Genomic DNA, 18,274 nt, shown 5'->3' with positions numbered 1-18,274 from the left:
ACTCTGTGAATATATTAAAAACCACTGAATTGTATATTTGAAAAGGATAAACTTTTCATTTGTAAATTATATGTCAATTAAACCCCCTTTACAAAAAATTGTGACTGAAGTCAAAGAGAGAACAAGGCAAGTGCTCATTTGTGTAGTGCTTTTAACTTTCCAAAGCTCTTTGTTATCTTTTCATTGTTATCTTTTGGTATCTTTTCTTTATAACTTGTCTGAAAGGTAGAGAGGGTAAATTTTACAAATCCCATTTGAAAAATGTGGAAACTGATACTTAATATGGTGAAATTAAATCCTTCAAAGCCCCAAGCCCCAGCCAGTGGCAGGGCAGAACTAGAACAAGGTGTACAGCAGAGCTGCCCTGGTTGCACACATTGGAATTGCCTGGAGTGCTTTTAAAAAATGAGTATGTGCAGAAAGATAACTACCACATGTTCTCACTTATATGTGGGAGCTAACAAAGTTAATGTCATAGAAAGGGAAAGTAGAATGGTGGTTACTAGAGGCTGGGGAGGGTGGAGATAGGGAGGTTGGTTAACAGATACAAAATTATAGCTAGATCGAAGGAATAAGTTATAATGTCCTATAGCCATGTAGGGTGGCTATAGTTAACAATAATGTATTGTATATTTTCCAATAGCTAGAAGAGAGGATTTGAATGTTCCCAACACAAAGAAATGATAAATGCTTGAGGTGACAGATATGCTAACAAGATTGATTTGATCTTCGCACACTGTCTGTATCTAAATATCACAATGTACCTCCAAAATATGTGCAATTATTAGGTGCCAAAAATAAAATGATGTAAAATTTTTAAATGAGTGTGTATTGAAAGTGGCTCTGGGGATACTAATTGTGCAGCCAGCGTTGAGAACCACTGATCCACAGACTAAGGAGTGGAAGCACTCACTAGATAAGGCTTCTATTGCATAAAGAAACACTGCTTGAAGTAGTGGCTCAAGGTGGAGACAGAAGACATTGGGTAAGACTGCCAGACGCTGTTCCTTCTAATGTGATTTTAGGAAGACAGGGCCAAGGCAAACAAGGGCCAAGGCAAACTAGTAAGCTCTGGAGGCAAACAGGCTGCTGCCTGGCACTCACTGCTGCCACTCCCTAAATGGGCTGAAGGGCTTGGGCCTACTGACAAACCTAAAAGGTCTGGACATTTTATTTGAAAACCCAAAAAGGAGTGGGCCCAATTCACCTGTCAGGAGGGAGAAAAGCAGATTGGCCAGTTCCCTAATCAAACAGGCTGTCACTGAAACAAATGTGAAAAACAAAGGCAGTGTTGGTCAATGTGGATAGGAAAGCCTGCCTGGGAATTTTAATCTCACTCAGCAAGGCTAATGCAGAAACAAAGCCCCCTTCACATTACCGCCACTGAAAAGCTCAGGGAGTTGGGGTCAAAGCTCTAAAGACTAACATCAACAAGGGCATGCACCTCCTCAGTGTTTAGGATAATAGTAGTAATAGTAGTAAAAACAACAGCATCTGACATTTATTGGTTATCTCCTATGCGCCAGGCCCTGGGCTAAGTGCTTACCACACATCATCTCCGTTCAACCAAGCACCATTTTACAGATAAGAAAATTAGGTCAGCAAGGTTAGGTATCTTACCCAAGGTCACACAGCTGCAGGTAGAAGAGCCAGCCATAAAACCATGGACCAGCTGGTTCAAGGATTGGTACTTTTGACCACTACACTATAAACTCTTAACATCTATAAAGAGACAAAAAGACTTCCAGAATATGTAACAAACAATGTTAATAGTTGTTACTGCTCAATGATTTGTTTTATTCTATTTTTCCCTCCCCTCCCCTCCCTTCCTTACTTTCTTTAAGAAATGGGGTCTCGCTATGTTGCCCAGGCTTGTGTCAAACTCCTGTGCTTAAGTGATCCTCCTGCCTTGCCCTCCCAAAGTGCTGGGATTACAGGTGGGAGCCACTGCACCTGGCCTCCATTTTTTTCTGTTTTGAACATATATCACTTCTGTAAAGAAATGATACATAAATGTATAAAGACAAAAGGCACAAAGCCGCCACCTTTTTTTTCAGTGTCCAGAAAAATAATCACCTTTGCATTGGTGATGATTTTTTTAAAATTTATACTTTTCTATATTTCACAAATTTTCAACAGTAAATATGTCTTTTGTTGTAATCAAGAAAATGGCATTATTTTAGGTGGTTGAAAAAAAAATTCTCCTGGAAAAAAATATTATCTATCACCCCTCTGTCTTTGCACCCAAGATCCCAGGACATATGTGAGAGGGATCCCCAGAATTTCCCTAAGCAACATAGAGGTTCAGGTTGGCTGATGAATTCATTTATTCTATCTATAGATATCTACCAGGTGCTAAGTACAAGGCTATGTAGGGGCAGCCACAAAACAAAAGACACTTGTCCTCAGCTCCAATGGGGCTTTCTACAAGTCAATTCACAATGAATCAAATGTCGCCATTTTTGAACTTTGAAGTATTTATTATTGATCTCTATCCATGCTCTACAATCTACTGCTTGGTTCTTCGGACTTTGACTCCATTACACATTTTGCCTCATAAAGTGAGGTGGTACTTTGGCAAAGGTTGGAAAGGACACTAGCCACATGTGTGTGTACTGAAATGATGTGTACTTGAACATTTGGAATTTGGTGTCCAGCGATAATCCACTTGCACATGCACTCTGTGGAAACTATGGTCTTCAGAACTCGGGAATAATGAGAATGGCAAAGCAGAAAAGAGTCCTGGATTTGAAGTAAACAAACGGGAATTCTAAGTCTGTACTTCAGCTTACCATTATCTAACAGTGGACCCTGGAACAAATCTCTCTGTGTCTATTTTTTGTGTAACATGAGGGGTTTGAAGTAGGTCAGTGGTCCGCAATATTTTTATCCTATTAAACTGCTCACTTGAAAGAAAAAAGACACTGTCCTTACCCACAGAGAATAGAAGGAATATATGAATATATAGTCCAACCAAACTATGGATGAAAAGAGTTATGTCCATGCCTGAAGAGATTACTGATTATCTAGTGTTTAAGTTAAACAAAGAAATATACTGGGCCAGGCATGGTGGCTTACGCCTGTAATCACAGCACTTTGGGAGGCCAAGGCAGGTGGATCATTTGAGGTCAGGAATTCAAGACCAGCTTGGCCAACATGGTGAGACCCCGCCTCTGCTAAAAATACAAAAATTAGCCGGGCGTGGTGGCGCATGCCTGTGACCCCAGCTACTTGGGAGGCTGAGGCAGGAGAATCACTTGAACCTGAGAGGCAAAGGTTGCAGTGAGCCAAAATCACACCACTGCACTCCAGCCTGGGTGGCAGACTGAGACTTCAAAAAAAAGAGAAAGAAATATACTGGAGTGGTATTTGTAGAATTCCAAGTGTGTAAGAAGCTGGAACCCAAATAAACCAACAATCCTAGAAATATGAAAATCTTTAATCTCCATGTACAAGCAAAGGATAAGTGTAAAAAGATACTTTTAACACAATTTACCCTTGAGGCAACAGGACTAAAAGCTGGTAAAATGATTAGCTTTTTCTTTATAGTCCTCTGAGTTACTTTTCAATGACCATGTATTATTTTTCTTCCTAGAACTTATCTGAAATAATTCACTATATTTCACATATCTCATTTTTAAAAAAATCTTTTTCCTTTTATTGATACATAATATTTTACAGATTTATGGAGTGCACATGAGTATTTTTTGCATGCATAGAATGTGCAATGATCAAGTCAGGGTATTTGGGGTATCCATGCCCTTGAGTATTTATCATTTCTATGTGTTAGAAACATTTCAAGTCCTCTCTTCTAGCTACTTTGAAATATACAATATATTATTGCTACTGTAGTCATGAGCATCTACTATTTCTGTAACAAAAAAATCCTAAAAGTAAAATTAAGCCCCCAAATTGCTAATCGATACTGTATAAAATTTGCCAAAAGGCGGTCATATGGCTGAATACTTAAAAATCAATCTAAATAACTAGGAGAGAAGAAGACCAAACCTTCCTTTGGTATGATGACCTTTGGTATCAGAAAGACCAAAGTTTTCATGCTAGTTCTGTCACTTCCTGTGTGCCCCCCTGTACAAGTTACTTAAACTTTCTAAGGCTCTGTCTGTAAAATGGACATGCTAATACACACTTCACAGGGTTTTGGTGAGGATCAAAGACTAATAATGGCTAACAGTGCAATGCTATTTGCTTTACACACATCAACTAACTTAATCCTCACAATAGCTTTATGAAATAGGCACTATTATCACCCCCATTTTATAGATGAGAGAACTGAGGTCCACAGAGGATAAGTAACTTGCACAAGTTTGTTCTCCTTGTGTTTTCTCTGTCTCCCACCCCTGCCCCCCTTCACACACACACACACACACACACACCACACACACACACACGCACACGCGCACACACACACACACACACACACACACACAAGGGAGTGGCCCAGCCAGAACATGAACCTAGAGAATCTGATCCCTGAGCCAATCCCCTTAACAACTACACTAGGGTGAGATATGTGTAAAAGAGCTATTCTGATTCCAAAGTCCCATCCACACATAAGAAATTCTTATTTGTGGAGGTTGAAAAGATAGGAAATGTACACAAAATCTAAATACTGTAAGGGTTAAGAGACATGACAGAAACAGTGTCTTCTTGTGATTTGCAAATAAGTGGTAATGTCTCTGTGTACAACTGGAATCCCTGACTCCCACCCTGCTCTTCAGAATCTCAATACTTAGTTGACTATTTTCTGCCTCCATGTCCATGTGTTCCCTTAGCTTGAACAGCCTCCTTCCTATGCAATTTGCATGCACATTCTAACCATCCCTCAAGGCTTGGCTCAGGCTTTATTTCTTCATGAAGCCTTTCCAGACCACTTACTCCAGGAGGCTGTGTATTAAGGTACAAAGTGCACAGGTTTAGCTTTAGCACTTACAAATGATGTAACTCTGAGCAAGTCGTTTAATCTGATCTGAACCTCAGTTTCCTCATATGTAAAATGGGTTTCTTATGAGAATTGAATAATATATGTGTAAATTACCTGGAAAATAGTATGGGCTCAGTGAATGCTAATATTAATCTTTTTCCCATTTCTTGAAACATAGAGCAACTGCAATTTAGCAGTCAAGCCTGAATGCCTTGTAAGTTTTACTTTTTTATTTGTGACAGGGTCTTGCTCTGTCACCCAGACTGAAGTGCAGTAGTGTTGGCCATAGCTCACCACCGCCTCGACCTCCTGGGCTCAAGCCATCTTCCCACCTCAGCCTTGAGTCTCAAGTAGCTTGGATTATAAACATGTGCCACCACGCCCAGCTATTTTTTTATTTTTTGTAAAGACAGGGTCTTATATGTTGCTCAGGCTGGTCTCAAACTCCTGGGCTCAAGCAATCCTCCTGCCTTGACCTCCCAAAATGTTGGGATTACAGGTATGAGCCACCATGCCCAACCATGATTTTTCCTTTTTCATGTTTTCAACTTTAATATTGCCATAACTTTTCAGGCATTTATACTTTATCTTTCTAACTAAACTGCAAGTTCTTTGAGGACCAGGAATGTACACTGGTTGTTTTTGTATCTTCTGCAGCACATGGCATGATACTTAACACAGGAAAGTGCTCAATAAAAATCTGTGGTTTGACTGGTGTGATCTAGGCTGGATTCATCAAGGATTTAAGACCCTCAAAGCTTAGTCTTAAAATAAAGCTACTAAGTTGACATATTCTAGGATAGTCCCTAGAATTTGGTTTGGACCAGGAATCCCAAACTCATCTCAATACCCCCCACATCCTCAGACACAATGCATTCATCTGATCAGAAACATACTGGCCTTTGCAGAAGGTTGAGGCACTATTGTGCCTCACTCAATTCTTTAGAAAATTAATACCTCTTTTGAAACCAAGCTTTGTACGCTTTAAGAACCCTCAGGATAATAAAGGGACATTCTGTCCTCAGTTCAGGTCCAAAATCCAAACTATAACTTTTTAAAATAGCCCAATTTGCCAGTCACAGAAATAACTTTTCTAGGTCAACTAGCACATTTCGATGTGCCAATTAGCAAAGAGTGAGATTTTCAAGCCTATCTGCATTGGTGACAACAAGGTTTTTCCAGCAGCACACATGGGTACAAGGTGTGTCAGTGGAAAAGCTGCATCCCAAGAACATCAATATAGTGTTTGTGAATGGAGGCTAGACACCCCAGTAATGACAGAATCATTACTATCTTCTTCCACTCAGTCTGAAAGTTAGGAATACTCAAAAGAACCATCCCATCCAACAGAGCAGAAAGAACTGGGCAAAAGGAGAGTGGTAGTAAAGGGGGTAAAAAGGAACTAACATAATAGATCAACATGGATATATAATAATGGGCAAGTTTGATAATAAGATAATAATGTACTTGAGGCTTTAGGCCTTGAAGAAGAAAGGAGCTTGATGAAAAGAATAATTATCATGCTTCTCCTAGTAGAAGACAGATGGGTACAAACACAAATGCAGGCCAGGCTAGAGTTTTTGGTCTGGGAAGAGGGCTGATATAGTATCTTCACTTTCTTTTCTGTATCCAGTCTCCCTTGCTAACAACATTCTGCATTCAGAAGAAACTCTCATGGGGGTTAGAGGGTGAAAAGCAGAGCGCTGAAGTTGCAGCATGGGCCCAGTGTCTCATTTCAGGGCCAGATCACTAGCTTTGCACGTGAGTACTGTAACTGAAAATCTAATCTGTAACCAGGTTCCATGGACACCCTACTTAGCTTCCACTCCTTGGCTTTAATTTCCTGAAAGTGGTTTATCCTGGATTGGATGATATTCTTTGCAAAGTCACGGGTATAGATAAGGAACCCAGTATCACCATCAGGACAAATGGCCAGCGGCTATAACAAGGAACTCACACACTAGACAGCACATCTATTCCCTAAACTATGAACTATTTGTAGCCTAGGCAGGAAGACATTAACATGGGATGAATAGGTGGGCTTACAGAGGGGAGAGGGGCTAGGAGAGGAAGTTGTAGTCTGTGTCCCTCCTGAAATTGTCTGCAAAATTGTGTGTTTGTGCATTTATCAAGGAAGAGACTCTATCACCAGCACACAAACTCTCCCTGAATTTCATTCATGGAATAGAAAAATAATTCTGAAGTCTCAGTCAAGAGATATGGGTTCTGGGGACACCCACCTTGACTACTGAAACTCGTCATTTATCCTCCTAAATTTACCCTCTGGAAGATAAGATGACATCAGACAAGCTTTGAGCTCCCTGCTAATCTAATAATCAATAGGTTCATCATGTACTTCCCCTCCTTCACTCCAAGAAACAAAAGGGCATATCACTGGAAATTGCCCTTTAATATAATTCATCTGAATCTAGAAAAAGACCTTTTTCCAGGATCCTAGGTGTAAAGAGCACTTACTTGTAATATGGGCCACTGGAATACACAGTCCTTCTTTTAGGGTTCAGCTTTAAAGATGGAGAACCCAGAGAAACTGAAGCCTAGGCATTCTCTAGCTGATTTGCAAATCCTGGTGCCAGTAAGTCACAGGGCAGAGTAGAACACATGGAAATTCACTGAGGGCCCCAAATCCTTTAGCTGACTGTCACAACTACTTCCAATGCCCTGTCACTCTGTCTTTGTGTATGTGAGTATATGTATGTCTATGGTACCAGTACACACACTAATCAGTTCATTTTATTTTTCTTGCTTCCTCATTACTGCTAATGAGCAAAAAAATAAAATAATTAAAAAGATAAAGGGCCAAGAAGGAAGGGCAAAAGTCAAAAGCTGGCTTACAACCTAATTGGATCATCAGGTTTAAGAAAGAGTTGCCAATCCTCATGTGTCTCATGTTAAGTCAATCTGAGCTCAACTAAGGGGCTGCAAGGCAAAAAGCCCTAAAGCCAGAGTAGTCCAAGAGGGATCCCAACCATCTAAAAGAACCAGACCTAAACCAATTGCAAATACATAGGCAAATGGAGACATTCCCAGCTTTTCTAAGCATCACTTTAGAAAAAGAGCACAAAGATTGACCAGATTGGCTGGAATCACTAGTTAAGAGACAGCCCAACAAAGAAGTTTCAATGTCAGGAGAGGTTACTTAAACATTTTTGATAAGTTAGTTGACTACAGCCTCACATTTATTTGGAAAGTATTAGCTGTTAATGTAACAGATACACCAGCACATCTGCTATGAGATGGCGGAAAAGGAAGGAGGAAGGAAAGGCAGAGGGGAGGGAGGGAGGAAGGAAAGCAGGGTGAGGGGAAGAAACAATGGTTTCTATGTAGGGTAGTATGGGTGCTATGAGCTGAATTGTGTCCCCCCAAAATTCATATGTTGGAGCCCTAACTCTCAGTACTTCAGAATGTGACTGTACAGTATCTGCAGAAAGGGCCTTCAAAGAGGTGATTAGGTTCAAAGGAGGCCATTACAGTGGGCTCTATGCAATCAGATGTGTGTCCTTATAAGAGGAAATTTGGCTAAACAAGAGACACTAGGGATGTGTGTGTAGAGAAAGGACCAAGTGAAGAGGCAGCATGAGGGTGGCCATCTGCAAACCAAAGAGAGGCCTCAGAAGAAACTAACCTTGCTGGCGCACTGTGATCTTGGGAATAACAGTACCTTGCCTCATAAGTTTATTGCAACGATTAAATAAATCTAAGCCATGTAAAGCACTTAGAACAGTGGCACATAGTAAGCACTCAAGAATCAGCAGCTGATAGTGCTGCTACTGTTACTTTTTATTTTTTTAGAGATGGAGTCTCACTCTGTTGCCTAGGCTGGTGTGCAATGGCATGATCATAAATCACTACAGCCTTGAACTCCTAGGATAAAGCAATCCTCCCACCTCAGAAGGGAGGGCGGAAGTCTCAAGCAGCCTGGACTACAGGCTTGCACCACCATGCCCAGTTAATTTCTATTTATTTGTTTATTTATTTGGAGGCGGAGTCTCACTTTGTTGCCATGCTGGAGTGCAGTGGCGTGATCTCGGCTCACTGCAATCTCCACCTCCTGGGTTCAAGTGATTCTCCTGCCTCAGCCTCCCAAGTAGCTGGGATTACAGGCATATGCCACCACGCCCAGCTAATTTTTGTATTTTTAGTACACACGGGGTTTCATCATGCTGCCCTCAATCTCCTGACCTCATGATCTGCTTGCCTCCACCTCCCAAAGTGCTGGGATTACAGGTGTGAGCCACCAGGCTCAGCTGATTTTTAAATTTTTTATTAGAAATGAGTTCTCACTGTGTTGCTCAGGTTGGTCTCAAACTCCTGGCCTCAAGTGATACTCCCACCTCAGCCTCCTGAGTAGCTGGGACCACAGGTGTGAGCCACTGCACCCAGCAACCGCTACTGTTATTGATAAAGGGACTAAGGATACTTCAGCAGACCCAGGGAGATATGTACCTTTTGTGTAACAATATTGACTGAATGAAAACTTCACCACCAGCTTTCTAACTGATTTCAGGTATGTAATGGAGCATTTTGGGGCCTTCATTCTCATGCTTCTACAATGAGAATCAAAATTTCTGTTTATGTTCAATGGCTTTGCAAGAAGAAGGATATTTGGTTTTCACTGGGGGAAAGGTCCTACTAGAAAGAGAGCTGAAGGTGGCCTGTCTAGAGGAACTATATCTATCCACCTCAGCAGGTGCTGTTTGGCCAGAGTTGTGGGCTGGAAACACCCCAATTCAGGATCACTAACTCTATTAGCCTAGGGGGAGATTTTCTGATGCACCTTCCTTTTCTGGGATCTGATAGAGCTGCTGAAATTTGAGAAAGCAGCTCTCTATCTGCCTGACTTCTCAGTCTCCTGAGAAAACAGGTACAAGGGGGAGCAGAGAGATGATAAGATAGCATTGGATCTACTTTTCTGCCCTAGCAGGTTACCTCCACAAGCAGGAAGTAACTTCTGCTCCAACCCTGTTCCACAACCCTGAGGCAGGAAGGACTTATGCTGTGGTATGGGAAATTCACCGTTTTTTGTTAAGTTTCCCAATTTGGTTTATTTTTACCATTCTTTGGAATTACCCCATCTAACTCTGAGACCAAGTCAGGAGTTCTGATTCTACAGTCCACCAGGTGAAGTCAGGCAAGTCACAGACTGTGGGAGATGTAGAAGGCAGGGCAACAGTGCCTGTGTCAGCGGCCTGTGCCTACTGATCCCAGCTCACAGGGGAATGTTGAACCAAGTGCACCCTGACTATTAAGACAGAGGCTGTGCCCCCTGCCCTCCCCAACACAGATGTTCCCCTCCATCGAGAGCTCAAATGCTTTATCTGTAAGATGCTTTGGGGTCCTTGGCAGAAAAGGTCTAGTCCATATAAGCTACCTTGGGAGTCCTGTTAAAATGCACATTCTGATGCAGGTGGTCTGCAGGTGGCCCCTGAAATTCTGCATGTCTAACAAGCAACACCCATGTGATGCTGATCCTAGGACCACACTTTGAGTTACACACTTGGAGTAACTGTGAGTTACGAACACCTGGGACAGTGATTCTCCAAGAATGGTCTAAGGACCCCTGCATTGGCATCACTTGGGGACTTGTTACAAACATTCAGTCCCTGCCATTACTTGTAGACTCTCTCAATCAGACCCTCTGGGGATGGGGCCTGACAAGCCTCATGTTTAACAAGCCCTTCAGTTGATTGCTATGAACATTACGTTTCAGAATCATTGCATGAAATCAGTGGTTCTCAACTCCCACTCCATGCTAGAATCACCTGGGGAACTTTTTAAAACACAATGCTCAGGCTTTATCACAGATCATGAACTCATCCTCTCCAAGGGTGGGGCAGCGCATCAGTGTTTGTTTTTAATTTTATTTTTAACTGACAAATAATTGTGGGTACTTATAAGGTACGTACAGTATGATGTTTTGATGTATGTTTGCATTGTGAAATGATTAAATCAAGCTAATTAGGTGAGCCTGGAACATACTAGGGTTCAAAATCGCTGCTTTAGATGAATGTTTTCTCTATAATTTCTACTGATATATGACATGCATCTTGAAAATTGTAACTATCATAAAGGTATACATGAATATTTGTGGGGAGGAGATGACAGGAATATTTGTGGAGAGGGAGCAAAGCATAGCTGTGATCTTAGGATCAAGAGGCTTAGGCTCCAATCCTAACTGCCACTTGGAATTTTACTCCCTGAGTAAAATTTTCTTCCTCTGTAAAACAAGAGGCCATAATTCTTGCCCTGTCTACCTCAAACACTGTTATGCGAAAAACCTTGTACACTGTAAAATGCTATCCAAAAATGATTATCAATTAAAGATTTAAACTATGATCTTAATGTTTAAGGCAAATTTAAGTCAGAAAGCAGTAGTAATAATTTTATAAGTGATTTCTTTTTCTGAGCTTCTCAATGTGACCTGCTAATGCCTCCACAGTCTCACATTTGGGAGTCTGAGGACATGGCTCGTAGCTCCTGCTTCTTTCTGGGCTGGTTTATCACCCAGCCCGCTGCAACCATGGGATTCTCCCTGCTAGCCATGAGGGGCTGTTTGGTCCAGACTGGCCCATGGGTTTGGGTGGATGGGGAAGGAATCTAATTCTTGCCCTAGGAAGTCCTTGGAGAAGTGGACAGGTTATGAGGCTCCCACAGCAAATTATTCAAGGCCAATGTGGTTGAATCTAACGAGAGCCCCTTAGAACACCTGAAAGCTGCTTTCTTTCCATTAAACCTCTCCAAGAGTTTGTATAGGCTTTGGTCTGCCCTGGTTATTTTATTTTTTTATTGTTTTGAGACCGAGTCTCGCTCTGTCGCCCAGGCTGGAGTGCAGTGGCACAATGTTGACTCACTGCAACCTCTGCCACCCAGGTTCAAGCGATTCTTCTGCCTTAGCCTCCCGAGTAGCTGGGATTGCAGGCAAATACCACCATGCTTGGCTAATTTTTGTATTATTAGTAGAGATAGGGCTTCACCATGTCGGCCAGACTGGTCTCAAACTCCTGACCTCAAGTGATCCACCCGCCTTGGCCTCCCAAAGTGCTGGGATTACAGGTGTGAGCCACCGCGCCTGGCCAGCTATATGTATATTTTTAAAATCACATGGGCATATAGGCAAGTACTGCTTTGCATGTTGCTGTTACATTCCTAGAAGAGGCTACTTACCAGCCGAGTGTTTACCACAGGAAACAGCAATGCCAGAAGAGCTCCATTCAACATGTGCATCTGTAGCCTAGAGGGGGAGAAAGATAAAGTTCAGGTCATACTCAGACCCTGATACAAAGGGAGAAAAAAGACACATCAGGTTAAGCCACGGCATATGGAAGAGAACTATGTATACAAGTTGCTCTCTGTGGAAAATGGCACTGGAGTTTGCACAAAATGAATTAATAGTGGCATATTTTGTATTAACTGAAATGTTCTGAAGAGCACCATCACTGGCTCAGAATCCCCTGAACACTTCCTGAACATACTTTGGTTACAACACTTTATTAAATAATGAGCTCTGTGTTCCCTAAACATTCAGTCAGTCCCAATCAACGGCTTCAACTGCTACAGCTTGGGCGGCATTAGAAAAGGGGAACTGCGGGAGGTAAGTGTTCTGTTATTACAGTAGAAACCTATTTATTATAACATGGCTGCTTATTTACACTGTCATGTATAATCCTTTTCCCCAAACAGAGACCTAAACAGAAAAAGATTGCTACAACCCAGGAAGCCAACTGCAGTGTTTTGCAAACTATATTTCCCCACTTTCTTAGAAATGCCCTCAGGAGCAAAAGTGGGCAGCCTTCCAGGCTTTCATTTACATATTGGGCTCTGTGACTTAAAAGCAAAACAAAAAGAAAAAAGAAGAAGAAAACCACTGGTCTCCAGCACTGGTTAATGATACTGTTTCCCAATCCCAATGCCAGACTTGTTAAAATACATACTCATTAGAAACCCTTCATAAGTCAAGCACAATTAACTCAGGAACAAACCCTGCTTGTGAGGGCTCTGGGGATGGATTTAAGTAGCTTCCTTCATTATTAAAGGCAAATGGTTCTTTACTACTAAGAGAGATGAAAAGAATGACAGTCTGTTCCTCTTGAAGAAACGTTGATTTGATGGGTCATGGACAACCACCACCGAGGCAACACGCCTCTTAGACCTCAACACTAGATGGGGGTTGATGTCAATCTCAATCACACACACACACACACACACACACACACACACACACACACACACACACACACACACAGCATACCTCCTATGCCCTGGCTGGGAAAACAGTCCACATGTTGAAGACTCTCTAGAACTTTACCTCTTCTCTTGGCACTCACAGATGTGTTTGTAACGCTAAGAGATGTGGCTGGGTGCGGTGGCTCATGCCTATAATCCCAGCACTTTGGGAGGCAGAGGCTGGCAGATCACCTGAGGTCGGGAGTTCAAGACCACCCTAGACAATATGGCAAAACCCCGTCTCTACTAAAAATACAAAAATTAGCCAGGCATGGTGGCAGGCGCCTGTAACCTCGGCTACTCGGGAGGCTGAGGCACAAGAATCGCTTGAACTCAGGAGGCGGAGGTTGCAGTGAACCGAGATCATGCTACTGTACTACAGCCTGGGCGACAGAGCAAGACTTGGGGAGGGGAAGGGAGGGGAGGGGAGGGGAGGGAAGAAGGGAAAAAGGGAAGAAGGGAAGGGAGACAGACTGAAAGATGTTACAAGGAGACCCCGGAGAATGGCACAGAAACCCCAAGACTGCTTTTCACTTCCCCTAGGCTGTTTCTTCCTATTGTTCTTTGTCACCAAAACTTTGCGAATAGCGATGGTATGCACTTAATATATTCCAGGCATCCTTAATCAAGAACCAGAAGAAAAATAATAATATTCCAGGCAAGTATCTGATTAACTGCTTTACATGAACTTTCTTGCTTAATTTTTATACCAATCTTCTGAGATAGGTACAATTACTTTTCCCATTTTGTTGATAAGGAAACGAGTTTCAGAGAAGTGAGGTGATCTGGTCAACACCACACATAAGAGAGTAGAGTCAGAATTCAAAACCAGGTTTATCTGACTCCAGACCCCAAACTCTTATATCTCTCTTGCTGCCTTGTATAAAATTCCCTGGTCCCTTCCTCCTGCCAAAGTATGACCTCAGGTGGAAGGTTAGAATGTTCCTCTTTCCCTCCTTTTAGTTTCAAGAGTCTGTCTGCCTCCTTCTTCCTTCCCTGCCCCTGGCTTAATAAGATTTCAAAGGATGACTAAAGTGGAAAAGGCTGTTTGGCTAAACAAGGCCATCACACTCCTTCAGGTTAATAGGGCTTGGCCTGGTCCATAAAAGGGAAGAGGCACACCAACGCAATGTCACTCCAACCTCCCTGGGGCTGGCCAGGTTACCACAATCCTTTTTCAGCAGTGTCATTCAAGGTGGCACCCCGTGTCTGACAAATGGAGTACTAAAAAATCTGGCTCAAGCCTCACTGTCTATAGCAGGAGCTATTAACAGCCATTCCAGGCCTTCAGTGAAGTAGAATCTGGCTTAACCCTGCCCCTGGGCCCTCCTATGTGACAGCCACAACATAAAGACTCACTCTGGGAGAGGGAAAAAAAAATCACATCAACAGTCCAGATGAAAGCTGGATTCTGGGCTGGGCGTGGTGACTCACACCTGTAATCCCAGCACTTTGGGAGGCTGAGGCGGGAGGATCACTTGAGGTCAGGAGTCCAAGACCAGCCTGGCCAACATGGCGAAACCCCGTCTCTACTAAAAATACAAAAATTAGCTGGGCATGGTGGCAGGCGTCTGTAGTCCCAGCTACTCAGGAGGCTGAGGCAGGAGAATCACTTGAACCTGGGAGGCAGAGGTTGCAGTGAGCCAAGATCATGCCATTGCACTCCGGCCTGAGTGACAAAGCAAGACTGCATCTCAAAAAAAAAAAAAAAAAAGCTGGATTCTGGTGCCAGGCTTTGCCATGGACCTCAAAAGAAATGTCAGCATTTGCACAGGGCCAATTAGACATTTGGACACCAAAAGTTAAATCTTGAGGTTGATGGAACTGATCAGGACCTACGGACGGCCAAAGATGAAGATAAAACTAACATCAAGATCCAAAACAGTTAAGTCCCTAGATAAAGACAAGCATTGCTCTGGGTTCTCAAAATTCAGTTTATACAAGCTATATATATGCTAGAGGGTGAATTATCTTTAATACATAAAGAAGCCTTGCATATTAATAATCACAAACATTTCTAACATGTATTGAACATTTCTATGTGCAAATCACTGGGCTAAGGATTCAAATATATCATCTCATTCAGTCATCAGAGTTTTTATTATAACCACCATCATCTTCCTCATTTCATAGTGGAGAAAACCAAAGCTCCAAGTGATTAAGTGATCTGCCCAAGATCAAACAGACAATAAGTGGCAGAGGCTGAAGTCACGCTCAGATGTCGCCAAGTTTCAAGATTGTATTTTTGCCATTGTACTCTGCTTTAAATCCATGGCATGAATGTTACATATGTTCTCTCTCTCTCTCTCTCTCTCTCTCTCTCTCTCTCTCTCTCTCATTCTCTCTCTCTCTCTCTGTGTGTGTGTCTGTGTGTGTGTGTGTGTGTGTGTGTGTGTGTGTGTGTGTGTCTGTGTTTCTATGTGTGTATGTATCAGACTGCAGGCCAGGAAGGAAAAAGTTCTTGCGTGCCAATGGGGCAAGGAAGGTCATGCCTAAACCCCTTGTGTGTTCTGTGGCAACTATCCTGATCACACAACTACATTGCCCTTTACCGACAAAGCACAGCTCTACAGGTAAATGACTGACCAACTCAGAAGCAGAGGCCTTTGTTTTAACTTTATACCCCCCTCCAGCCTGCCACAAAAATTTGTAATGGGTGTGGCAAATGGCTATAGGGCCACTAGAAAGTCCTGTGAGGGAGTTCCCTCATCTGTACAATAGGAACCATAATAGTACCCAATTCATAGGATTGTTATGGGAATTATATTTAAAAAATGCATTAAAATGTGCATGGCATATAGTAAGACTCATATAAAACATTTGTTAAATAAATGGTGAAGAACTCACCTAAAGCCTCAAGATGGATAGATGGATGGATGGATGGATGGATGGATGGATGGATGGATGGATGGTTGGATGGAAGGAAGGAAGGAAGGGAGAGAGGAAGGGAGGGAGGGAGGTGGGAGGGAAAGGAGTGAAGGAAGGACAGGAAGGGAAAAAGGAATAGAAAAAAAATCATATGAGGGACAAACTACTTAAAAAATTCAAAGTATGAGAAGGAGGTCCAGAGAAAGCAGATGGACAGACTGAAGGCCAGAACCAAAAAGCAGAGCTTGGGGCAGACTTATATTTGGTTAGTCATACTTATAAACCTCCTTACCAGCTCAGAGTATTGGTCTTTGTATTGTATATACAGCTGATCTTTGAACAATGTGGAGGTTAGGGGCACTGACTCCCTGAGCAGTCTAAAATCTGCCTATAACTTTTAACTCCTCTAAAGTTAACTACCAATAGCTTACTGTTGACCAGAAGCCTTACTGAGATCAATTAACACAAATTTTGTATGTTATATGTATTATATATTGTATTCTTACAGAGAAGAGAAAATATTAAGAAAGTCATGAGGAAGAGAAAATACATTTAGAGTACTGTACTACATTTATCAATACCATAAGTTTGCATCATCTGTTCACAAGATGAATCGTCGTCTAAAATAGTGGGTAACTGCAGCTGCAGTCCTCAATCTATGGTGCATATCAAGCAATTCAACTTTTCCTTGTAATGTCTTAACTTTTCTCTGATTCTTGGGAGCACTTCAGCATGACTAGTGCACTTTGTATGGGTCCTCTGGTGTTATTCAACATTTATGGTATTGCACTAAACACCATGAAAAATGCGAGAACCACAAGGATCACTTTTTTATTGGGATCAACCATTTACTGGAGAAAGAACAGCCCATTCGGAGATGATCAGGGGCACAGGGCATTCTAAGGGATACTCACAACACCTGAGCTCACTGCAAGAGGCAGCTATAAAATTATTACAGGAGTACAGTATGTACTACAGCTAATTTTATGCAGTTATGTTTTAATAGTGCATCTTTATATCTTTACATCTCTCAATTACGATGGCACAATGTACAGTCTATAAGTGTTTGTGTACATAAGCTTTGATAAATTTTAACTTTTTGTAATAGATTGTGTATATTTTAGAGTAGTAAACTATAAAATACACTAGTGTCTACATGTATTTATTCATTCATGACATACTTAACCTTTTCTTAATCTTTTTCAATACTTCTAGGCTATAAGACTTGCCTGCAAATTTTTTCAAATTGTCAAAAACCCCCAAACCTTTTTCCAATATATTTATTGAAAAAATCTGCTTCTAAGTGGACCTGCATAGCTCAAACCCATGTTGTTCAAGGGTCGACCCTTCCCTCATGTTTTCCATCCTGTTTAGTGTGATACTGTAACCCCTGAATAACACCAGGGGATCCAGATGAAGTGCCACCAGTCATGCTGGAAGTGCTCCCAAGAAGCAAAGAAAAGTCATGATATTACAAGAAAAAGTTGAATTGCTTGATATGCAGCATATATTTTATTTTCTGTATATTGTGATATTTTGGTATCTTTAAAAACCTTTCTGGCTAGAGACAGCCTGCCCCCACCCCGACCCCCATCCTCCAGCCAATTCTTAGAGACAGCAAGTACTCACCCAGAAACATGCCTTTGATATGCAAACTAACCAATCCAAAGCCAGACCTCCTCTATCTGCCCCTTATACCCCAGGAGGCTATATTCCTCTTCCTTAATTGCCCCAGGGCCAGACACCAGACAACTAGGGTGCAGCCCTACAGCTTAGAGGCCTGCTGAAACTATTCAAACTAGCCAATCCTTAACTATTCACCCTGTCCTGCCCTGCCCTGCTTTTTCTGTGGAAACCCCAATAAAGGCAGTGGACTAAAACTTCCTCCTTGCTCCTATCTCCTGCCTCCTGACCACCCTAATGTCTTTCCCAAGTGGCCTTGCCTAGTATCCTGAGCCTCTTGTCTCTGGGACCAGTGAATATAATAAACTTTGTTTTTTCCTTACCCTCTCCTCTGTCTACTCTTGTGGCCACATCTGACTGATCATCACAAAAGAACACAAGATAGCCATTATTACTGACACAAATATTTCCTATAAGCTTTTTTGGTTTTGTATAGGATGCTACACTGAGTCTGCTTAGCTGGTAAGAATCTGAGGCAATATGGCAAGCACCATGGTTTTGATTCTCTTCTAGATCAGTTAATTTTGTTGAATTTAGTTC

At 42.0% G+C, this 18,274-nt stretch overlaps 1 protein-coding gene across 20 annotated transcripts in view; it reads right to left on the bottom strand.

The window, feature by feature from the left end:
* TMEM164 (transmembrane protein 164) overlaps positions 1-18,274 on the bottom strand; it is a 181,883-nt gene that overhangs the window by 62,981 nt on the left and 100,628 nt on the right. For 17 of the 20 annotated variants that reach the window (XM_047442570.1, NM_001353849.2, XM_047442569.1 and 14 more), the window contains one exon: positions 12,125-12,191. The exons of the other annotated variants lie outside the window; for them this stretch is intronic. In XM_047442570.1, coding sequence (XP_047298526.1) covers positions 12,125-12,191 — 67 coding nt within the window. The remainder of the gene's footprint in view (positions 1-12,124; positions 12,192-18,274) is intronic. 20 annotated transcript variants of the gene reach the window in all.

This window comes from Homo sapiens, chromosome X (genome assembly GCF_000001405.40).
Source record: "Homo sapiens chromosome X, GRCh38.p14 Primary Assembly".
Classification (NCBI taxonomy): Eukaryota; Metazoa; Chordata; class Mammalia; order Primates; family Hominidae; genus Homo; species Homo sapiens.
The sequence above is the reverse complement of the archived record's forward strand: the minus strand, read 5'-3'. Positions and strand labels throughout refer to the sequence as shown.